The sequence below is a fragment of the Homo sapiens genome, chromosome 13 (genome assembly GCF_000001405.40).
Source record: "Homo sapiens chromosome 13, GRCh38.p14 Primary Assembly".
Classification (NCBI taxonomy): domain Eukaryota; kingdom Metazoa; phylum Chordata; class Mammalia; order Primates; family Hominidae; genus Homo; species Homo sapiens.
In genome coordinates, this window is record NC_000013.11 from 37,744,050 (window position 1) to 37,769,768 (window position 25,719).

At 33.7% G+C, this 25,719-nt stretch overlaps 1 protein-coding gene across 9 annotated transcripts in view, besides 2 other annotated features; it reads right to left on the bottom strand.

Moving 5' to 3' along the window:
- TRPC4 (transient receptor potential cation channel subfamily C member 4) overlaps positions 1-25,719 on the bottom strand; it is a 237,710-nt gene that overhangs the window by 111,987 nt on the left and 100,004 nt on the right. For 8 of the 9 annotated variants that reach the window (NM_001354806.2, NM_001372055.1, NM_001354799.2 and 5 more), the window contains exon 3: positions 1,888-2,406. The exons of the other annotated variant lie outside the window; for it this stretch is intronic. Coding sequence is in view for 5 of the 8 variants with exons in the window: in NM_001135956.3 (NP_001129428.1) it covers positions 1,888-2,406 (519 nt within the window). In the remaining 3 variants the exon portion in view is untranslated. The remainder of the gene's footprint in view (positions 1-1,887; positions 2,407-25,719) is intronic. 9 annotated transcript variants of the gene reach the window in all.
- Positions 3,243-3,537: a silencer, noted in NCBI's record as "tiled region #14178; HepG2 Repressive non-DNase unmatched - State 24:Quies". NCBI's record gives its function as "represses a minimal TATA promoter and a strong SV40 promoter by Sharpr-MPRA in HepG2 cells {active_cell/tissue: HepG2}" and the evidence as "EXISTENCE:reporter gene assay evidence [ECO:0000049][PMID:27701403]".
- Positions 9,763-10,057: a silencer, noted in NCBI's record as "tiled region #929; K562 Repressive non-DNase unmatched - State 24:Quies". NCBI's record gives its function as "represses a minimal TATA promoter and a strong SV40 promoter by Sharpr-MPRA in K562 cells {active_cell/tissue: K562}" and the evidence as "EXISTENCE:reporter gene assay evidence [ECO:0000049][PMID:27701403]".

Genomic DNA, 25,719 nt, shown 5'->3' on the forward strand with positions numbered 1-25,719 from the left:
ACATCTTGGGAACTTTACTCCATTCAACATTTGTAGGATAATATTAACAGTGAACAGCTATGGCATAAGAGAAAATCTTTGCAATCATCGTGTCGATTCTTTAAACCCCCTTCTCCAAAGAAAAACTAAAGAAAGCAAAGCATACTACTGTGCTAATATGGATCTTTAAGAAGATTTAGGCCATATCAATATTTCAATATCTTTCAAGTCTAAAGCCTGCAATGACTTCTTATCTTCCCATTTACCACTTTGAACATCTTTCATCAATGTATCTTATCATTGTGTAGTAAAATTACTCTAGTTTCTTTAAAATATTAGATCTCTGAGTCCAAAACATAAAAACCTAAGAAAATGAGTTAATACTGCTGACAAGGACTCAAAATAGCAAATGTGATTTTAGAGTTAGAGGGAATGGACACAAAAGAAGCTGTTCACTTCAGTATTAAGGGAAAAGTTCATTTCACCTTGTTTCAGGCTTCCATGACAACCAGATTAGCTTAACTAATCACACAACTAGAGGAAAAAATTGAGAAAGCAAGTTCAGGTATCTTGAACCTTGAGTATTTAGTGAGTAGCAACAGACAAAGCAGCCAGGGCTTATATGGGATCATTAAGGCCAAATTCAAAAGAAACTGAGTACATTTTACAATTCAGAAGTCTTTCACTTTTTCTCTTTCTCTTTTCATCTTACATAGCATTTCCAAGTATTGTTCTGGAATAGATAATTACTATCATTTAAGAGTGAACAGAGAACCAATATTTTCTTCAGATAGATGTAAACAGTCTTTTGAGAACTCACTCAAACACAAAGCAATTATGCTGGCTGATTAAGGGTAAGAAGTATGAGATTCTGTTATTTAATACAGCATTTTTAATATATGGAAATTTTACAAGAAATTTATTACTCCCTTGCGATGAACTTACTTGGTTTCTTATTCCTGACAAATCAAAAAAATGAGCAAGATATGAGAAAAGTTTTAGTACTTACATCTGCTATTGTACTAAAGTCTTTTATTTTATTAACACTTTATAATAAGTATTTACTGATATAAATAAAACAATACCATATAATTTACTAAGAGTCTTCACACATCCACATATTTTACACTTCCTAAAAACCTGTGAGGAAAATGTTGTCTATATATACAGTTGTCCCCAAGCATCTGTGGGGGATTGGTTCCAGGACCTCATGTGGATACCAAAATCCATGGCTGCTCTAGCCCTGCAGCAGTTGGCCCTACGGGACCCATGGATAGGAAAAAATCAGCCTTCCATATCTGAATGTTCCACATCCTATGAATGCTGCATTTTCCATCCACATTTGGTTGAATCCAAGGATGCGGAACCTGCAGATACAGAAGGCTGATTATTTATATATATATATGCGTATATATATATATATATATATATATATATATATATATACACACACACACACACTTATATATACGTATATATGTATATATATACGTATATATGTATATATACGTATATATATATATATATAATTTCAAATATTAAATCCATTCAGCAGGTGAGAATACTGAAGCTTAAGGAAATCTATCTGTGACCCCCTAAAGTTACAAGACTTATAAATAGCAGAGCCAGAAATCTCAGTCTGGACATACTAAAATTCATTAGTTTTTCCATTATACCACAGTCAATGTGTACATTTTAAGACAGAGGCCAAAAACATCAATTATTAAACCATTTATTACCACTCTTCAATGTGATTCATAATTATTAATCCGGTAGACAATAAATGTCATCCACTTACAGCTGAATAGAAAATGCTCTAAAACCCAAAACTAATTTTGTGAGTAGCAGTTTGCTTCACTGTGATTAAACTCTATGGCATTTTGATGGATCAAGTCTGGCAACACTCACCTCTTTTTGACGGTACTTAATGGCCAATTTTAGTCTTGCAAGATCATTTCCACTTTGTTCTTCTATGAGACTATTGTCATCTCGGTAATTAAGAATGATTTCCAGTTCTCTGGAACTTCTCGTCTGATCCAGTAGGTCCTTAGCAAATTGTTTGCACTGCCGTGACAGCTCTTCATACTCCGACTTGAATTCATTTTCCACCTTGCTCAGTTCCTGAAGTTCCCAACTTAACTGAAAGGCTGTGAGAAAAGGATCTTCGCTTGACAGTGCAATGAGAGAGGGACTGGCCAAGGCCTTGTAGATGTTGAGTCTGGAGCGTGAGTGACGGAGGCTGTCCACATCTGAACTGGACACGCATTCCACACAGTTACAGCGGACCTCGTGGGGTCGAGGCACTGAGACTCCTTTCTGAACCAAGAGTTTTATTATCTCATAATTATTTGTATGGGCTGCCAAAATGATTGGTGTAATGTCTGGAGTGAATTCAGAGAACTGCTTATCAAGGAGTATAGGAGGCACCTAAAAAAAAAAAAGGCAGAGGTGATGAATATTTATTCTTTTGTTCAAGTCTGTGAATTTCATACACCATGCTATAGCAATATGGAACAGGGTTTATATGTCCTTGGCCGGGTTTTTTTTTTTTTGTAGGAGAGATATGGTCTTTTCCCCTACAAAAAGACCAGACAAAATTGGAAAAAAAAACTTTCCAATATGATGCATTATTCTTTTTTTAATCTGAATTATGACATTTTACAGCATCTTAAAATAGGTGGTTATGGAAACTCTTTACTTGATGAATGTCTTTATTTCTTTTAAATAAGCCCAACTTATTTTCCAGCTGACACTATTTTCTTTGCTTTCTCAGAGATGTTGAGGTCCAAAATAATCAAGAAATACACTCAAAAACAGCTAATGATTTGTTTTAAACCCAAGCTCTTTCTCTGCAGTAGAAGTCCTTTAATTCCTCAATTAGGTTTTGTCTTTTGTTTGTTTTTACTGTGTTTTAGCTTCTGCTTTCCTATCATTCAGCCTAGTGACTAAATGTGGCAGCAAAAATAAGTGGGCTGGCCTCATGCTTCCTCTTTTCATCTGTGCTTTTCTGGTATATTTTCCAGATGACAAGAGGTGCTCCATAACTAGCATTACTGTTTTATTAGAAATAAGCAAGCATTGAGTCGAGTCAGCAGTGTGAATTCCACTGAATCAGGTCACCAATGTGTTTATGCACGATTTCCTTTGGGTTATACTCTAGGGATGGTAATGATGAAAATAATAATAGCCGCCATTTAGTAAGCATCTGCCAGGTACATTAACCCTCACCCTTTATTATTCACATTTTATGGATGTAGTTCCTCAGTGAGTAAGTGGAAGGTCTACAATCTGATCTGCAATTTCCACATACTTTAAAGACCTTATATAATAAACACAGGTTCACCTGTCTGACACCCAACCCTGAGTGAATTGCACTGCACTATGTTGCTTTAGCACTTTTAGTTTATTTATTTTTGCTGGCACAAAGCCATAGAGGCATTTATGAAAAGTTAATGCTACATAAGGGCAGTTAAACAGGCATGGCAAAAAAAAATGATGACTCACGTCACATTGAAATATGCTGCTGGAAAAATGAAGGAAACCACAAAAGGATCAGAGGAAAACCATATGGAGAAAAACGACACTCATGATGACACTTCATTAATGCTACTTTTAAATATAGGTACATTTTTATATGTGGACAATTACACACATTTTAAAGTCATCTGGCCATATAGGATATCCATTGGTTTCATGAGAAACACTAAAGATAATAGGAATGAAATTATCGATTTAAAATATCCTTTACAGAGGTATGCAATTATTTAATAGTGAAGATGGTAATAAACACTTTTTGAAATGTGCTTATGAGTACTAGGGTGACCACACTGCCTGTTAAGATAGTGTTTTACTTTTGTGCACTTTGAGGCCACTGTGAAGGTAAATAAAGTTTCCTTGGTCACAAGTACTGCAATCTCGTGTCAGTAAATCTGATAACCAAGATGGCTCTTAAGTGACTAAGGTTTGGGAAATGGTTTCAGTGTGCATTTGCCTGACAAAGTGAGAATTTACGTCCCAGGTGAGATGGAGTGGGACAACGTGAGATTTCATCGTGCTGTTCAGAATGGTGCAAAATTTACAACTTATGTATTATTTCTGGAATTTTCAATTTAATGTTTTTGGACCACAGTTAAGCATTGGTAACTGAAACTGATGAAAGCAAAACCTTGGATATGAGGAGACTACTGTACTTTTAGTGTTTTCTGTGGCAGACAATGAGGGAAGACAAAACAATGTAACTAAATAATTTCCTATATTAGATGTATGTTTAAGTGACATGTAATTTGAAGGCAATTTCTGGATTCAGTACAATTTCATCTTGGATTTCTATGCTTTTTAAGCTGTTAAGAATTTCAAATTTATTAACCATAAAATATATCTTTATAGAATATTGCAGAAAATTTTATTTTAAAAATAAGTATAATATATCCATACAGAATGGCATACATTTTTTTTCAAAAAAATAACAGTGTGAAAGTATTAAAGAGAGATATAGTAAGTTTATTAAAATATGTGAGAATATACCAAGAATAAATCTGCTGTTTGAGTTTTAATACTCAATAAACCATTGCATTGGTTTGTTGAATGGTCAATTGATTGGTCAGTAATGATATGGCTTGGCTTTATGTCTCCACCCAAATCTCATTAAGAATTTCAAATTCATTAACCATAAAATATATCTTTGTAGAATATTGCAGAAAATTTTATTTTAAAAATAAGTATAGTATATCCATACTGAATAGCATACATTTTTTTCAAAAAATAACAGTGTAAAAGTATTAAAGAGAGATACAGTAAGTTTATTAAAATATGTGAGAATATACCAAGAATAAATCTGCTGTTTGAGTTTTAATACTCAATAAACCATTGCACTGGTTTGTTGAATGGTCAATTGGTTGGTCAGTAATGATATGGTTTGGCTTTGTGTCCTCACCCAAATCTCATCTTGAATTGTACTCCTCATGTATACAGGGATATAGTTGGTGAGCAGCGACTGGATCATGGGGATGGTTTCTCCCATGCTGTTCTTGTAATAGAGAGTTCTCACAATATCTGGCTGTTTGATAAGTGTCTGGCACTTCCCCTTTCTTGCTCTCTCTCTCTCCTGCTGCCATGTAAGATGTGCCTTGCTTCCATTTTGCCTTCTGCCACGATTATAAGTTTCTTGAGGGCTCCCCAGCTATATGGAACTGTGAGTCAATTAAGCCTCTTTCCTTTATAAATTACCCAGTCTCAGGTAGTGTCTTTATAGAACAGTGAAAACGGACTAATACAGTAAATAACTATTTTTAAATTACATAATTATAATTATTTTAGAGCTTACTCTTACTCTAAAATGTATTCGAAATTTAACATTATATGTTGTCTTTACCATTAATTGCCTGGCACCCAGCTGGTCATAGATTGTTAGACATCAGGAACTGATTGTCTTAGCTGGACTCCGTGGGGGACTCTGCTGGGACCCTGACTCAGCCAGGCAGGCAAAATATTAGTGTTTATCTAGGTCTCAGGGGACAGGTTTGGGTCCTCTCCGATTGCATGAAGACAATAAAAACAGAACAAAAGTGTTTTAAGAAAATAATTGCCTGTTACGGAGTACTAACTATATGCCTACATCAATTATTACATGGTTTTTGAAAGTCTGAGGTTTTCTTATTCTCTCATCACTTCTACATTTATTATATTGCATTCTTCTGTGTATGAAAGTTCTCCATCTTCTCCTTTTTGTTGTTGGATATTGCTATGACCCCATGAATTCTTTCTTTTATTTAATATATTGTGATTCATTGCTATCACTATTCGTTTTATACTTGTTATTAAAGTATAACATACATATAGTAAAATGCATAAATATTAATATACAGCTTGATGACTTTTAAAAATCTGAACATGCTTAGGTAACACAACCCAGATTAAAACCTGAGAGTGCCTGCACCTCACAAGCCTCCCACTTGTTACTCTTCTCAGTTATTACTTTTCTCAGATATACTCACAGATTTAATGGTTATCAGTATAAGTAACTTTCACACACTTTGAAAATTTTATATAAATAGAATCACAAAATATGTACTCTTTATGTCTAGCTTTCTTTGTTCAACTTTAGCTCTTTGAAATATATTCCTTTGTTAGTAGCAAAAACTGTTGCTTCAATTCTGCGAAATATTTCAATTTCTATTTTATTTCATTTCATTGTTAATGACATTTTTATGGTTTCCAGTCTGGGGCCATTAAGAATATTGCTCTTATGAAGATTTTATTTCTGTTTTGAACATGAAGGAATAACGTACATGTATGTTGATTTTGTTTCTAGGTACAGAGTTTTTGTGTCACACAGTTTTCTTAAGCACTGATACCAACTTGTCTGCCCACTGCAATTACGTTGGTTTTATTTATTATATTTATGCCATTTGCAAATAACTTTTTTATTTATTATCAAAAATGAGTGTTGAATTTTGTCTAATGCCTTTTCTGTTTCAATGGATATAATCATATAATTATCCTCCTTAGTCCTAAAAGTATGGCAAATTATATTAATAAGTTTCGGAATATTGAAACATTCTGACTTTCCTGAAATGAATTCCACGTGGTCAAATGCATAATGTTTTTACTTTGGCAATTTTTAAAAAAATTATTATTGTACTTTAAGTTCTGGAGTACATGTGCAGAATGTGCAGGTTTGTTACATAGGTATACACGTGCCATGGTGGTTTGCTGCACCCATCAACCCGTCATCTACATTAAGTATTTTTCCTAATGCTATCCCTCCCCTAGCCCCCAACCCTCCGACAGGCCCCGGTGTGTGATGTACCCCTCCCTGTGTCCACGTGTTCTCATTGTTCAACTCCCACTTATGAGAAATATTTTGGAATCGATTTTCCTACGGGAGATGGATTTCTAATCTTCACTGTGCTGTCTTTATCAGATTCTGGTATCAATGTGAAGTTTTCTTCGTTAAAAGAATAAGAATGCTTTCTTCCTATAGAAAATGGAGATGTGGCATTCATAACCCCTTCAAGAATGGACTTGCTGTCCGGCTACCAAGAGTGTAGTCTACCAGCAGCCTCCACCTGCTAACCGGTTCAGGTTCTTCCTCAGTTTTAAAATGCAGGACAATGGAAGAGCAAGCAGAGAGGATGGACAGGGCCCAGCTATTTCTACTCAGCATACGACATGGCTTGCTAGGCAGCCGTATCCTCCGGAGCTCCTGTTTACAGTGGCGGGAACATTCATCAGCTCTGCATCAGGGTCTAACGGCTTCCGCTTCCCAATCCTGCTTCTTTTGCTTTTACTTTCGAAGATGCTATTCAAAATATACACAAATGTAGGAAAATGTACCTTTTATTTTTGTTTTGAAATGAGAAAAGAATGAGAGAGAGAGAGAGAAAGAAAGAGAGAGAAGGGTCTGACAAAAGACTGTATGGTTAACCAGCTAATAGAATAGAAGCTTTAATAAAGGAAAAGGGGACCCTATGGTTACTAGAAAATTATTAATATAAAATGTAAGCCATTCTAAAGAAAAGGACGGGTCTTCGGGATCTTCAGTTCTTTCCCTCCACTACTGCAAATGCGATTTTTCTAATATAGCAACAGCTTCAGGCAATTCCCTTTCTTAAAACGGCTTATAATTACTTTGATTGATTCAATAATTTATTCATATATTGAATCAACAAATATTTACTGAGTCTATTGTCTGGCACTGCATTAGATGTAGAGAATTAAGAAAAATGAAGATAAAGCAATTCATATCCTCACAGAGATGACTGTGTATTTGACAGAAAACTGGAGCACAGATTTCCTGTATCTCCCAAGCAAAGTGAATCAAATGTTCATTTACTTCAAATCCAACATCATGGTAGTTATCATGAGAAATACACAGAAAAATAAGAAATGAATATTTGCAGCGTCACATCAGATGATAACCAAATTTTAATCTGAAACTTTCAGTTCTAAAAATTTGCCAAGTACTTTCCAAAATCTCAGGGTAGTTTTTCTGCTATATATAGCAGAAAGCTTCACATTGATACCAAAACCTGATAAAGCAGAAAACTATATATATATATATATATATGACTGGTAGAGTTAGAATACAATAATAACTGTAAAATCTGCTATGAGCCCTAGAACATAAAAATTATTTGCTAACTATAATTTTTTTGTTCAGTATTAACAAGAATACGGTACTGTGCAACATTTTACTTTCCTTAGCAAGAAGCGAATAATTGACATACTTGGAGCAGAAAACTGCAGATGCAAACTGTTCTTTTGGAAGCGTTAGAACATTCGGCTGCCATTCTTTTTCTACTTGGCAAAGTGCCTAGCGGATAGTTGGTATTCCACACATGACACATCGATTTATTCTGCACACAGGTGACTGCCATTTCTGTAGGGCGAAGCCATTAAATCAGAGTTCCAAGCCTTCCAACTAGAGACTGAGTCAATCTCAGACGACAAGGAAGAGCCGGTCACAGATAGTGAAACAATGCAAGCTAAAGTGACCCCCTCAAGATTTTGCTCTCAGGACCTAATCTCTCTCTAGAAAGACCAAAATACCACTTCTGCCCCCCTCCCCCTCCCACACCCTTTTTCTTTGCTAAGTTTTCCTAGCTCTTCTTTCAGAATGTCCTAATGTTACAGCCTTTCATTTGTACACAAATGGTCTTTGGGGTATACAGAGACTTAAATTCCCCTTTTCCCTAGATGGCTGGTACATTTAGCTTATTTCAGATGTTATGTCCTAGGATTACAGATTCGCAGGTGCTCAAACAAACAAAAAAAATAAAGAAGATAACTTCACTAAATCTTATAACAATAAATCAAGTCACTTTAATGGCTTTCATTTAATCAACAAATAATTACTATACATGAGCAATGTGCAAGGCAATGTGCTGGGTGGAAAAAGGTGTTTTGTCCTCTAGAAGCATAGCAGAAAATTCCTCTCTTTCTCCCTCCACACACACACACACGCACACACACACACACACAGTATAATACTATAGAAATGATTTTAATGTAAGAACTCAGTAAATGCTCTAAGAAGAGTATGAATAAAACAAAGGGGAAATTAATTTAGAGATTTTTTTAATCAGAAAAGGATTTGAGGAGGTGTTTATATTTACACTGGTTGGAACTAGCAATGTAAAACAGTTATAAGAAAATGACAGCATCAAAGAGAAGACATGAGAGATACATTTATAAAAATACTTTCTTTAGAGTATAGTATAAGTCAAGAAAGCTAAATAATTTTAAAATGCTTCAATGTAGATTAGGGCAAGATTAGAGATGCTTTTGAATAGCATTATTTTATAAATATTGGTGACATTATAGAAGAATTTAGCCAGGAGAATAATGGAATAATTTCTAAGTAGTAACATTATTCTAGTATATTTTGAAGAATACATTAAAATTGAAATGGTTGGAGGCAGGTAAAGAAGGCTGATAGCTATTACATTTTGGATTAGACTTGTAGCCATGGAAAAGGAAAGGATATGATTGCACCCTGCCAGACAGGAAAGATGAGAGACAGAGAAAGAAAGAGAGAGAGAGAGAAAGAGAGAGAGAGAGAGAGAGAGAGAGAGAGAGAAAGAAAGAAAGAGAACACAGAAACATGAGGTAGAATTAATTTAAAGCAAACATATCAGAGAAGAAGAGATCTCATCCAGATGATGCCCTGAGAGTCCTCTGAATTCAGATTTCTGTTTCCCTAATGTTCACTTGTCTGGGATGGAAAGGTGAACACAAGTGCATTGCAGAAGCTGCTAATGCAAATTTGCACGTTCTAGCACTGGAAAGGCACTTTCAGAGAACCCTTGCATCCAATTAGGGCCAATGGCCCTTCCCTCTCTCTTCTGTCTTTCAGCTGACTATGAGTAAGGGTTGATAAAGAGGCTTTTCTTACTGGTTTTCCAGGGAAGCCGAGCCTGCCACCTCAAAGCACCCCCGCTATGGAGAATGGGCGATACTGAAGCTATGGAGAGGGCAGCGAAAAGCTATGACTCAGGGACTCTGGTTGACTGCAGCTGAGGCAATTATCAGTTAATTATCAACTTTACTACCTGTTTCAATAATTTAAGGAAGTCTAAAATATAAGTCATTTGACCTCACAAACATTTAGAAAACCCAGAAAATGGGCTTGCTGCCCCTTTTCACGCTTCGTTCTCAACGCAGTCTATTTTATATCTCAATCCCTCTCCTTTGCTTTATTCAATGTCTCCCATACGCAACTCTTCCTCCTTCCTTTTGTGGTTCCATTGTTACAAGTGAAGAGGACATTTTCCTAACACATAAAATAAATAGGTCATTGTAGGCACTCAATAACTACTACTTTTCCATTAACTTTTCTTCTCAAATTTATAAAGTTTTCCATCTAGCATATTTAAGGACATAACCCTGCAGATGAAAATCACACTGTGTTTTACTTATTTTGCTCAAGTAAAATCTATAGACATAAAGGCATTACACCCAGGAAAACATATTGGCATTAAATTATATACTCACATTGCTAAGAAGCAAACCACATACTCCAAACAAACTACTTTTTAAAAATAAATTCCAAGTTATTGAATCACAAATTTCACTCAGCAATCCAAAACAAAAGTAGAAGAGGCAATTAAAAGAAGACCCTGAAATTAAACCAAATAAATCCCCCTGTTTTTTGTATTGTGTAACTAACCATAAGGTTGCTTTGGCTTTTATTCTGTCCAAACTTTATAAATGTATCTCTTCAATATTTTTCTCAATTTTACTGCAAGATTAGTTACATTAATAACTGAATTATTTTGATAACACACAGCATTAAATGTTATTGACATATACAAGCAACCATTAACTTATAACTGATTGCTATTCTTAAAATGTATCTACATATTTCACCTTGAAGTGACTCAGCACCAATGTGAAGCACCTATTTTAAAATCCAGAGCCTGATGTTTTACCCAAATGTATTAAGTTAGTGCAAAAGTAATTGTGTTTTTTGCCGTTAAAAGTAATGGCAAAAACCTCATAGAAATTTATCTCTGTCACTAAAATATACATGTTTGAACCATTATTAATACTGAAGTCAAATTTTTTGGAGAGAAATACATTCTGAAGTGACATTCATACAATTTAAGGGTATTCATTCTATTAAATTCAGTTTTTATAAAATAGTTATATTGAGTAAAAACAATTTACTGACATAATACTGTTTGGCATACACTAGATTTTAAGAATAAATGGATACATGTCCTAACCTGGCTCTTTAAAAAAAAAAAAAGAAGAAATAGGGTCTCACTCTGTGGCCTAGGCTGAACTAAAGTGACATGAACACCAATCACCTCCTTCCTGGGCTCAAACAATCCTCTCCCTCAGCCTCCCAAATAATTGGGACTACAGGCATAGCACCACCATACCTGGATAATTTTTTTATTTTTTATTTTTTTATTTTTAGTAGAGACAGGGTCTCACTGTATTGCCCAGGCTGGTCTCAAACTCCTAGGCTCAAGTGATCCCACCTCCCCTCAGCCTCCCAAGTAGCCGGACTACAAGCATAGCACCACCACGCCTAGATCATATTTTTGTAGGGACAGCATCTCACTATATTGGCCAGGCTGGTCTTAAACTCCTAGGCTCAAATGATCCTCCTACCTCAGCCTCCCAATGTGCTGGGATTACAGGCGTGAGCCACTGCACCCACCTGGCTCTATGTTTAATTAGCTATATAATCTTGTGAAAGTCTCTTAAAGATAGTAAGGGGCATTTGTTATATGCAAAGGAATATCCCTTGTAACACGAAACTTCTGTGACTCAAATGCCTTTTTAAAGTTCTGGTTGATAGTAAAATAATAGAAACTTTATGAAAAAGGTGTTTGTTTTTTCAAGGGCTTCAATAAAAATGTGCTAAGTTCTTTAGCTTCCCCTTGTGTTTAGCATCATTGTTTTACTCTAACATAGTCAAAAGCAACACTTAAAAAAACCCCTCAGGATTATAAGTATAAAATTTATCTCTTTCATACACAGAGACTGTTTGATTTCTAATTCAAATCAACACAAGAAATTTCAACTTAGTTATATTTAAAATTTTATATAGAGTTATATTTAAAAATTTATTTGACAACAGTAATTTAGAACCTAAATTTATATACATATGTGTGTATATGTATGTACATGTGTGCACACACACATACATACACACACATGAACACAAACTACTTATACAAAAGCAAGTGGTTGTCATATGAATGAAGAAATCTATAGATGAATGGATGAATGGATGGATGGATGAATAAGTTAGGTTACAATCTTATCTAAACAAACTCGAAAGTATTATTTTAGGCTCAAACTTCTGCTTTAAAAGACTAAACAGAATTCAAATTTGCACTTATACAGACAAAAAATTATTTGTTAGTCTAAGCCTAGGGCTAATAATTTACCAGAATGTTTATGAAGACTGGTGGATAAGAGAAAAGACTTGTGCTTTTTACTTCTTCAGAGTGGTTGCAACTTTAAATACACTAATAGCTTTTTTTTTTCTTTTTTTTTTTTTCTGAGGTAGAGTCTTGCCCTGTCACCCAGGTTGGAGTGTAATGGCATGATCTTGGCTCACTGCAATCTCCGCCTCCCAGGTTCAATCGATTCTCCTGCCTCAGCCTCCCGAGTAGCTGGGATTACAGGCAGGCACCACCACACCTGGCTTAATTTTTTGGATTCTTAGCAGATATGGGGTTTCACCATGTTGGCCAGGCTGGTCTTGAACTCCTGAACTCAGGAGACCTACCCGCCTCAGCCTCCCAAAGTGCTGGGATTACAGGCGTGAGCCACCGTGACTGGCCTAAATACACTAATAGTTTGATTTGATGTCTGATGAAACATTGATCCAGAAAATAATTATAATAAACACCTTAAAAGAAATTCGGCACGATTACATACATATGGCTCTAAATCAGGAGATTTTAAATTTTTGTGTGCCATGGATTTCTTTGGAGATCTGAAGCATCCTGTGGACCCTAATTCAGAAAGAATACTATTTCTAAACAAAATCCATAGTATTATACATAAAAATATATTTAAATATATGTAAAATACATTAAAAAATATGCAATGTGGTAACATGAATGCCTATTAGTACATTAAATAAAAAGTTACACTGGAAGATAATTAGACTACTTTTGAAATAATAAACATATATCAGATATATAGTGTAATAGTGATACGATAGGAAAATATCTATGATTTCTACTATTGACAAAGACACAGTCACTGCTATGGAAACTGACTTTTGGCCTACATTCATAATTGAAGGAAATTACATATTCCATTTAGAAGTCAGTAAAACTAAAGATATAATTTTTCCCATCTTAGTTCACAGACATCTTTGAATTCTATCTAGCACATCCCTAAGTTAAGAAGCTCTTAAGTCTAAGTAAATTAGACTTGGAAGACAAATACAATTTTTAACTGGAAAGCACAAAGCAGATAGTTGTTTTTTAGGAGAAGTAATTGGAAAATTCGGAGGACTTTCTGGAAAGGAATGTATGATATTTGAAATTTTTAAAAAATTACATTTATATTTATTAAGAAACCAGAATGTTCTATTATCATAGATGTCCTAGAGTATCAGGTTGAAGAAATAAATCACAACACACACACACACACACAAATATTTACTTCATGCAGAAAAATTCTGGAGATCTGGGGAAAGATCCAGAAGATCTAAAATGTAAATAAAAGTTACTGAAAGATAAAGAACACCTGGAGAAAAGTCAAAAGTGAGGCATAAACAACCAGAGAAATTTCTTATTCTAAGCAAATGATGAGTCTGTGCACTGATAGTATTCACCAGGTATTTGGTTAAAGTAATGAAAACAATTATGTATGATTAAATATATTCTGGGGAAATCCCAAATTGGTGGGTAGGGTTCAAGGTTGGAAATTTTCTAAAAAATAGCACTTTATTTTACTGAGTCTCTTAGGTACAACATAGATCTTCCTTAATTTACTTGACATGTGGGCCTGTATATTTCAGTTAGGGGTAATTGGCGTATTCACGTAAGTTACTGACTTTTGGCTTCCATATTATTTTAAAATCATTGTATATATAACAACTTTTATTTGTTGCAGTTCTCTGCTTTAGTTTTGTATTTTAAATGAGTAATAAACAAAAGGCTTGTTTGCTAACAAAGTAAGAAATCCTATTCTACATAAACAAAGATCAAACAAAAAAGAAAATAAAATGTAAAATTTTCTGGTAAGGACACCACTAAAATAATTGTTAGTATGTTGAATCCAACAGTGTATCAAAGGAATTATGATATTTTTAGCTATCATTCATTATGGTAAATAATATTTTTCAATGTGATGATATTGTATGTGAAACAGAGTTTGAAGAATTTCATCACTATTCCTAGAAATGATAAGGATTATTTACCAAAACCAGTAGCAAAACTCACAATAAAGAGTGAAAACTTTTTTCATTAAAATTAGAAATAAGATGGAAATGTTTATTCTTATTATCTTACTCATCATTATTTTGGAGTTTCTATATAATGCAATAAGATTAGAAAATAAAATATTAAGAAACAAGACAACCTGTTCCTGTTTGGCAAATTACATGGTCATATATTTTGAAAAACTAAGAGACTTCAAGTTTAGAAGTATTAATAAAGCTTAATTCGACATGTGTATGCAGTACAAAAATCTATACTTTTCTTAACATTAGTAATACAAGTTATTAACAGAGCTGATTACATACAGAAAGAAAAAAGTTGGACATTATTAAGTGACAATGGATATAATAAGTGTGAATAGATTATAGAAAAAATAAAACCTTATAGGGCATAAAATAAAATCAGAAATATAGAAAAATTATTCCGTTAGTGGAAAAGAAGACTTCATATCAGAATTATGTTGATTTTTCTTACAATAAATATATGCATTTAGTACCATTTCATTAGAATATTTTTGTTTATATTGTTTTATTTATAACTTAATAACATTGTTATATTAATTGATATGAAGGAATATATATCCAAGAATGGCTAAAAAATTATAAAATTGAGACTATAATTCAAGAATATAGTGAGAGATATGAATCACTTGAACAGAATTTTGACCAGAATTACTTTTGATTATGTATTTAAAGTTTATATGTGAAAAGTTAAATTTTTATTTATTTGAAAAAGCAGTTCATTTACTAACTGGCACTAAAACAATCTTCTACCCAAGCAAAGTTAGGCTATTCATCTCCTGTCATAACAACAAATTTGAGATGGGGTAAATATTTAAATGTAAAAAACAAAAGGCAACAAAATTTTTTTTGTCTGCCCTGAGATTGTCTGCCCTGAGATTGAGAGCTCTTAAAGCAAGATTGTAAACACAGAATGAAAAACCACATATTTTGTTATACAATTCTTGAGTGGAATGGCCAAGGATACCATACATACATAAAGTTAAAAAAATAAGCTACTAAACTACAATAAAATGCATTTGCAACATATGAGACATACTTAACATCACACACAGAAAAAATGTAAATAAAAAATCTTATAAGCAATCCAATGGATCAACAGTTATAAGCAGATATTTTACAGAAGAAGAAAATCAAAGGGCCAGAAATATAAGAAATGATGATTTTTCTCAATAGTCAAGGAAAAACAAATAAAAACAATAATGAAATACAAATATTTGTCCATCATATGGTCAAGTTTGAAAAGCTATGGAGACAGGCTCCCCCATTCATTGAAAGCTAGAGGGATAAAATTATTACAGCTTTATGGGAGAGTATGCAGTATTTATACAAATTTCGAGAAGTCTTACCTCAGGAAATGCTTCCTACAGAAAAGCAGGGACAATGAGAATATTTCTTATATTTATTTCATCAATTTGTGTCCTGATGGAAATTTGGACATCACCTCAATGTTTTTCAAAAGAGAAAAGTTTGAACAAATTGTAGAAACATATTCTTGTGTGAAATATTGTGATGCCATTGAATATTTGAATTAGCAGTAATGTTGTATGTATCATTCCAGAGAGATGCTCCTGAAGTTTCATTTTGTCATGCTAGAGAGTTGTAGAATAATTATTTATATAAAGATTCCTTATTTTAGGCTCTTTAAACATTAGTTGAGATTCTACTTTCTATCAGACATTGTCCTTAGTATTATCTCTATCTGAACTACTTTATTTGATGTGCAAAATCCTCTATAATTAGGTCAATCTCTATATTAAAATCTACTGTGCACTACACTTCAGTATGCTTCCCATGGTCTGAGCATTTCACCATTAAACTTTCCATACAGCTTTTTAAATTGGTGTTTGCCTTTTCCCTCTCACCTATCCAGTTCTGCCACTCAGAACCCATCTTAAGTATTATAATTTTTATAACGTCCTTTTGTAAAATTGAACTGTCATTGGGCTGCTTTTTTGCCTTTAATGGAGGAAGGGGGAAGGGAAGTTATTATAACTTTCCTACAAGTCAAGAGGAACCCATTTTCAGAAAAGGAGTTTCTAAGAATAGTAAGGAGGATGAGTGCATACTCCACAATTGCAGATTCCCTTATTTCCCATCAAAGGCTCTTATTACAAGATACATCTAACTTTACCCAAGCTTTAGTACAAGTCCATGGCCCACAGGCTGTATGTGGCCCAGGACAGCTTTGAATGCAGCCCAACACAAATTCGCAAACTTTCCTAAAACATTATGAGATTTTTTTGCAATTAAAAATAATCTCATCAGCTATTGTGAGTGTTAGTGTATTTTATATGTGGCCCAAGACATTCTTCTTCCAATGTGGTCAAAGGAAGCCAAACAATTAGACATCCTGCTTTAGTTAGTGATGCATCCAGTATAAATAATGATAACTTAATATCAATAACTACTTTTACTTCCTGTAAAGCAAATATTCATTTGAAATTGCACAGACTATTCTTTATTGGAAGCCTATTTTCTGTCTACTTTGAATTAAAAATACCAGCAAAGACTTATAGAGTTGACTTGAAAAGGTATATAGGGCACACAGTAAATACAATCCTATGATTGAATGACAGATTTATCTTAGAAAAAGGACACGTGTTGATACAAATGAACAAGGATCTGGCTAAAACTACTTCAATTAATTGATGTTGTAAGTGCAAATATACTTGGAGTCTAATGATGATAACATAAGCAATAGCTAACCTGTATGAAACACTTGCCATGTGCCATGCCCTGTGTGGGGAGCTTGTTATACCTCATCTCAGTCAATCCTCAAAATAATGTTTACATGTACTATTATTATTACCCTTTTTATACAAAAGAGAATGACAGGCCTCAGAGAAGTTCAGTAACTTCCTCATGGTCATACAGAAATCCATGCAGCCTGACTCCAGAGTCTAAATTCTTCACCAATAGATGTTATGTCTTCTAGGTAAGGCAGTTGCGACATCGTGGGAACAGCTCAGGTAGCGAGAGTAGGAAAATGTCCGTTAAATCCTGCCTCAACCATTTCTAGCTGTGACAAAGCCAGTTAACTTCCCCACTTTTTTATTTTCTCATTTCCAAATGTAGTCATTTATTCAAAATATTTCTCATTAAGGAACAAGAACTGAAGAAACATATATCAAAGCCTTCTCAAAGTTAGTTCCCATAGGGCTGTGGTGAAGATTAAATGTGAAAGCATGTTGTAATCTATAAATCACTAAATAACATGGAGGTACTAGTGTTATGTGACAGTACTAGGATTGTTAGGAGCAAGACCAGAAAACTGTCTTGTTCAGTTTGACCAGATTCATTTGTTTCTCCTCACATAAACACAGTCCCAATTATAGTGCTTGATTCATCTGAAAGGTAGAACAATAATTTCCTGGCGGGCCGATTTTGTAAGTGTAGATGTCAAGGTTTAGAATGCATGCTTTTTGTTGCTGAAAATTTAAGCTGTGTATCTCCTGAAATGGCATCTGCTTCTTTATTGTGTACTGCTATATATACATCAGGAATAACAATTAAATATTATTTGTATTTTAGGTAAATACTGGAGAAATATATTACAACTCTTAAGGAGACATCAAACAAATAGCAACTTTAAATCACCAGCAGGTTGGACTAGGATGAATCACTAAAGGAACTTGAGGGTTATTATCACTAACTCTTAGATTGTTTAGTTGACAGACTTCACTTTTCTTTTTCAAAACTATATAATACTGACTTCTACAATGGTTGAACTAGTTTACAGTCCCACCAACAGTGTAAAAGTGTTCCTATTTCTCCACATCCTCTCCAGCACCTGTTGTTTCCTGACTTTTTGTTCAACCATTGTGGAAGTCAGTGTGGCGATTCCTCAGGGATCTAGAACTAGAAATACCATTTGACCCAGCCATCCCGTTACTGGTTATATACCCAAAGGACTATAAATCATGCTGCTATAAAGACACATGCACACGTATGTTTATTGCGGCACTATTCACAATAGCGAAGACTTGGAACCAACCCAAATGTCCAACAATGATAGACTGGATTAAGAAAATGTGGCACATATACACCATGGAATACTATGCAGCCATAAAAAATGATGAGTTCATGTCCTTTGTATGGACATGGATGAAATTGGAAATCATCATTCTCAGTAAACTATAGCAAGAACAAAAAACCAAACACCGCATATTCTCACTCACATGTGGGAATTGAACAATGAGAACACATGGACACAGGAAGGGGAACATCACACTCTGGGGACTGTTGTGGGGTGGGGGGAGGGGGGAGGGATAGCATTAGGAGATATACCTAATGCTAAATGATGAGTTAATGGGTGCAGCACACCAGCATGGCACATGTATACATATGTAACTAACCTGCACATTGTGCACATGTACCCTAAAACTTAAAGTATAATAATAATAAAATAAAATAAAAAAAAGACACTAATCTGCCCTTTAGCAAAAGGGGTTATAAAGGATTTGTAAAGATTTCACCTTATGGTCAAATTGGTTAAGATTAGATGGAATCCTTTATAAGGTTTCATTTAAATAAATTTGGATTAACATTAATAAAGTAATGCAAGGGTAAAATTTGGCCTTGAACAGGATTTTTGTGCAATAGTAAAGGCTAATGAATGGTTAAAAAAAACCTATATAATATATACGTATATATATTACACTGAAGGGGAATCTACTAAATGACATTTAAATAAAATGTTGTTTGTTGAAAATTTGAACTGTCTGACATTTCGAAATTTAGAGATGGAGAAGATGAGGAAGGACCAGTAAAAGATATTGAGAAAATAGATGGTAAAGTAGGCAAAAAAGAAGGAGAGTGTGAAATCCGGAAGTACTAAGGCATATATTGAGGCAGGTTGGTAGCTATGGTGGTGGAAGCATATGGGAGTTTTCCCCTGATTGGTTCTATTTTCTTAGTAAAATAGAAAACGAGGCATCACCTGAGGAAGAGGAGAAAAGAATTGGGGAGCTTGTTGAAGAAAAGATAGATAGAAAAAAAATGAATGAATCCCCTAGGCAAGTGGAAGGGTACCCAGGAAATGTAGTAAGATTGCTGGGCACCACTGAGCACCCACTTGAAATTAGTGGTCATGCCTTTAGAGTAAAACTAGCTGAAATGGTTATATGCTTTCCTCAGCCCTCTCTGGCCACCTGAGTACAAGCATACAATAGGCAGAGATTGGACTAAACCAAAAATGTAATTTTACCAGATAATATTACAAAATGAGTGAGGCAAACTTGTCTTCAGGTGGGAAACCACAAGGATGAACCATTGAATTTTAAATCAGGGAAGTAACATCACAAAGGATGAGGGTCAGAACATATTGGAGTATGCGTGGGTGCTAGATAGAGTGAGCAGGGAAGAAATTTTGACGTTGGAGGTAGAACAGTTAATGATAACACCGAATCCAAGTATGGCCATAGTAGGAGGTGACTAACGCATGATGAAGTTAAAGATAAATGTCTGGGAAGAAGGAAAGTAGGTTAAGGAGGCCAGTGTAATTCTAGCATTGTCCAGGTGTACAGCCAGAGAATCTGGATAACACCATTGTTGAGGAGCATGACAGTAAATCTGATGCTAAAATCCCCAAGCAATGAGATTCCATAGAATATTACTACTGGGGTGGAGACATTAAAAAGAAGCAACAGCTGAGTATGAACAAGGCCCAGTGGTGTGACGGATGCCTGCAAGGGAGACTCAGATTTCAGCTAGAAATGAAGGGGCTTTCAATAAAGTTTTCTATTTTTCCTCTTGAAACTCCCACACAATGTTCAGTTAGACAACTCAAATGTTTGTTACTGTTGAAATACTCTCTTTTTATAAGTATATATTATATACATTTTTCTATAATTATACATTTGTATATAATTTTAAATTATAATTTCCTGATGCTAGTGTTTATAATGTATAGACCAACTTTGATTAGTGTCTAAAATTCATTTGAATTTTATATATTAATATTTTATGTTATGACTCATAAACTTTCATATTGGTTACAATAATTTGTAGATGATGTTTTGTTTTTATGTAGACAAATTATCTGAACATACTTTTAAGCTTTTTCAGTCTTCATATCTTTTTTGTTTGTTTGGTTTTGTTCAAACCAGGGCCTCCGGTAGAGTTGCATAAAAAGTAATAATGAGAAAGCTCATTTTACGGATATTAACATGAATGTTTTTAATATTTCACTTTTCAGAATGATATAAACTGTAGATTTTTTGTTACATTCTTTTAATCAAGTTAAGGAATATCTTTTGTCTATTCCATTCTTGGTTTGCTAAAGTTTTTTTTGTTTTGTTTTGTTTTCCCCTATCATTGATAGATATAAATTTTATCAAATGCTTTTTTTTTTTTTTTGCATCTAGTGAGAATCATGTGTTTCTTTCACCTTTATCTGTTAAGGCAGTGAAATAAATTACTATATTTTTCTAATTTTTGCTTAAGATTTTTACACTTATATTTTTGAGTGAGATGAGCATATTTTTTTTCTTTCTCATGTTGTCCTCTTCAGGCTTTGATGGTAAGGCATATTTATAACATTATAAATATTTGTGAAAGATTGAAATAGTATGTTCCTTGAATGGTAGGGCTTATCTATTTTTTATTATGTCTTAAATATGTTAATATTTTTGATCTATCATATTCATTTCAAATATTTTAGCCAGGTTCTAATTTCTGTGTGGAGTTTTACTATAAAGATTGTTAATATTACTTTCATCTTGATTATCAAATCTATCAGTGTCTTTTCCCCCAATATTGTTCAGTGTAGACCAGGTATTAATTCATTAAAATAGGGCACCAACCTATGAGAATGAACACTAGGCTTAAAAGCATGTCCACAGGGTTTTTTAATAGGCTAAATATCTGCTTACTTTAAGCTTTATAGTCTTGTTCATGTGCAACCAAACCAGTAACACTGGCAAAAGATTTAATGTTCATCAATATGTTAAATTGATTACAGTGTGATCTCTTTTAATCCATGTGGAATTCAGCTGTTATTTGACATGTATTTCTCCCCTGATAGATTTTAAAGTCTTTTGAACATCATTATAATAGTTACACAATATTTTAATTAAAATACACAGTAATTTAGCTAGTTACCACCTAGAATTTTAGAGTGTATATTAAAATCTCCTGTATTTTGACTGTATGAGAGAATGAGTGTATGAATATGAATAAATTTTTTCTTTGGTTTTCCTTTCACTAAACATTGCTAAATTGCTTTCCAAAAGGATTCAGTTCCAATATAAATGAAGGGCGTTTGTTGATCTGTATTAAATATAGAAGATTGCATAAGTGCTTTATTGTCTTTTGCTGATTTATTGTTCAGTGTTAAATAGAATTATTTTGATTAATTTTATCATATGCTTTGTAAATTTCTCTTTTCTAGATATATTTGATGTTTTTTTAAATGCACAAACGAACATGTACTCAAATAATTCCATAGTTTACTTTGAAATAAAAACAAGTCCTTTAGAGATTAAAACCACACCAAGATGAATCATTTTTTTTCCACTTTCCATTTTTCTTCATTAGGTTTGTTTAAAGCATGCAGCACATGAATTAATGTAGATTTACATTAATGAATGAAAGTTGATATAATTAAGTCCTATGATTGAAGGTTCTAATGAAGCCTACATGCAGTGAAATACATCTTAGTATATGTTAATTTTAAACAAATACTATCAAGCTTTCCTGTAATTTTCAAATGGCCTGAGACTCCTAGAATTGTTGACAATACATTACAAGAGAATTCTCTAAATTGGATGCAGCAGGAAAGTAGGAAAGATTTACATGGATCCTCACATCTTAACCCACTTTGAATGTAGAACACGCAGAATATGGAGCATGTGGATGTATAGAGAATGAGGCCTCAGCAATTCTTTATGGTAATAGACTGTTGCAACGAAATTAACGCAAACTTTTAAAAACAAATCTATGCTAAACCGGGAAAATTGGCTCTCAGGGATTTTCCCAAATTTGATTATTTTAGAAAATAATCAAAAACTTCCTATGGATCCTTTTTGGGAGTAAGAAATGCAGAGGAAATACATGGATAATATATCCTGGTGAAAAAATGTGCTGGTCCAAAATGCTAGGATGGGAACTAGAATGATTCATGAATGAGGAATAGCAAAGTCAGAGATACATGTGTAGGGTAGGAAGTCTGAATGCCTGGCTATTATGATTGGCTAACAGTAGACATGTGGCTGGGTCTTTTATTTCAAAAGGAATTGAGATAAAACTGAGGAATTAGATGATCTTGGTTCATCCACGAACTAGCCACATGGCCTTGACCACATCATTCGCTAGCTTCACTTTTAGAGAAAACGTCACTGACTGTCTACTCACAGGACTAAGTGACCTTAATATGATGAAAGTGCTTAGGCAGTGGCAGAGTGATTTATAAATGTAAGGAGGAGAAAGTAATTTTACTCTAATGATATTAAAAATAAAGATACAGAAAATGGTTGTGATTGTTTTTATTTTTCTATTAATGAGAAAGTAAATTTCAGAATATTAGATAAAATTTTAGATTATGAATACTGAAAGAACTAGTCTATTGAGTGGGTGTAAGATTTCTACATTTTATGACTCTTTAGTTGAACACTGCATAATTAATGATTTTCTGAGAAACATATCTATATTTATGTTTAAACTGCCAGTGTATTTAATAATTTCCTTCTCATTCATTGCCTTTTGTTTTTGTGGTATGTCCAAGCAGTATAGTCCTTGAGACAGCACTGACTTTATCCTGCTAAAAAAGCTGTATATTCTATTGCTTAAAGATTTTTAAAATGTCAAAAGAAAAAAGGAGAAAATAAAATTCACTCTAAAACACACTCCCCAGAGATATAGATTCAGCATATATATATATATATATCTATATATACACAGATATCTGTATTTTGTAGAGAAAATTGGGAGCAAGTCTTTATATACATATATTTTTAGCAAATACAGACTTGTATAGAATATTGCAATCTCTGCAAAGAAGACTGCATGCTATACATGGGACTAACTTTTCGAGGTGTGGAAGGCTCCTCAGAACCCCGTACTCCACTTAAAATATTAGGCAGCATTGTCTTGTAGTAGAGGTCAAATTGAAGAAAAATATATATATTCCCACATAATTTCTTAACAAAGGTGTTAATAATCTTGGTTTCATTCTGGAAGTGATCCAAATCAGAATTGTTACCTTAACTAAAGCCTGTAAGACCTTTGATGTTTGACTTAATCTTGCCAGATTGTACTTTGCCAGATTTTACTTTCATGAATAATTATAAGGTTTTTTAAATCTACCATATTCATCCATCTACCTTTCCACTCCCAAAACTATTACTTAGTACCTAGGATGTACATAGAATTATGTAGCTAGTGGAAGAAAACAGAAAAGACTAAGATTTTGTTTACAGTGTAATTTATGCCTAATGAATAGACTGGTATTCTTAAGTTTGCAAATAAATAGTATCTAAAAAGACCATCACAGTTCAATGGACTGAAAAATAGTTTTATTTCAAAAGACCCAAATGCAACATCAAGAGCTAATAAGAGTTTTATTATTTTAGATATAAGTAATCATAGGAGGGAACAAACTAAAGTGAGAAAAACTCCATAAAGAAGAATTAACAAATTAAGGTAAATGAGGATAATAATGTGAACTACCAATATCACATGATGTATTGATCGGTAAGCATCTCAGGGAAGGTGCAGCCACAAAAACTTAGTCTTCAGGTTTAAAAATATGGCTATAAAACTAAGGAATGCTACCAAAATAAATTGTCTTAAAAATTTCTTCTCTTCTGAGATTGCACAAAAATAACAGAAATAACACTTGGAAAAATTCTAGGAATTGACAGTGTGAAGGGAATTAAAAAAGACACGCGGAGAGCCATGTTACCATGTAGCAGGGCTTTCCAGGCAAAAGAAAACTGTTGGAGGGACATTCTTACTCTTCCTGATGGAATGATGGCTTTCCTTTTTCACAACTAAAGAAAATATCATACAGATTTTTGAACTGATGTTGATAAATTCATGGGAGGAGAAAGAAAAAGGACTTTTTTCTCTATTGAACTCAAGTGTTTAGAGTCAAGAATGAAATATTTTAGCAATTTACAAGTTCTGTAGCAACCAGCTAAGACATTAAGAGACTTCTTAACTTCTATTTTAATGTGCAAATACACACATACGAACACACACGCACACACACACACACACACACACATCAGGATAGGTGGTCGGGGGCAACATTTTACTAGAAGAAAAAAAATTAGGGACTGATTTCTCACCTCTCATGCCCCACAGAAAATATACTGAAGGAGCTAAATCCTAGGAAGAAGCAAAGACTCCCAGTAGAGTGCCAGTACATTGAAAAACAACCTTTGCCTACTTTCTGCTTTTTGGATCAGGTATACAGTGAGTGGAATTGATTAGTATTATTTTCATCCTACAATGTAATTTTAAAATTCATTTTGCTAGACAATTAAGCAAAAAGAAACCCAAAGAAATATAGATCATGGTGGTTCACATTTTTTGGGTAACTTTTAATATGAATTAAGTGACCTATAAAAGATGCAGTTAATAAAATGGTGCAAAAATTCATGGAAACTTGTAATTTTATTGATAGCATTTTAACGAAACCTCTGCTAGTGTTGCATAGTGAAAAAACTATAATCCACTGAAAAGTAAAGAAAAATAATTTAAAATATTTTTTATTACTTTTAAGTTTTTGCCAGCCAGATGTTTGAAACTATACATATATTTTTGAAAGCCTCAAATATTCACCAGGTGGCAGTCTTTTCCTTAACTGTGGTCAAAGGAAGCTATCTGCTTTACCTCATTTATTAAAAAAAGATAGGACAACAGGTGAACATCGATCCCACACTTACATTGACAATACTGAATTTCAATGCTCTGTCTTTGGTGAAAACATCCTTCCTAAAATATCCCTAAGGGAACCTGTATATTATTCTATGGGATTAACTCTGATTATTTCCCTTTATCATGATTTTTTCCTTCTCTTTCTCTATTCAGAGAAAGGCTACATTTTGTTTGGTGATTTATAATATGTTTAGATTATGTTTATTCAAACTTTGCTGTCTTATAATCCTGGTGCATTTCCTTTTTCCTGACTTTTAGACAACTTTTAGCTCAGGGTCATGCTTCCTGGCTCCAGGGAATCATTCACAGATTTACACCCTCCTAACCACTATGCAGGTATCTAGAAGCCTATCCTCAGAGATTTCATCACCAGAATGCAACAAGTTTGTCTCTTATATTCTGCATCAGCATATTTT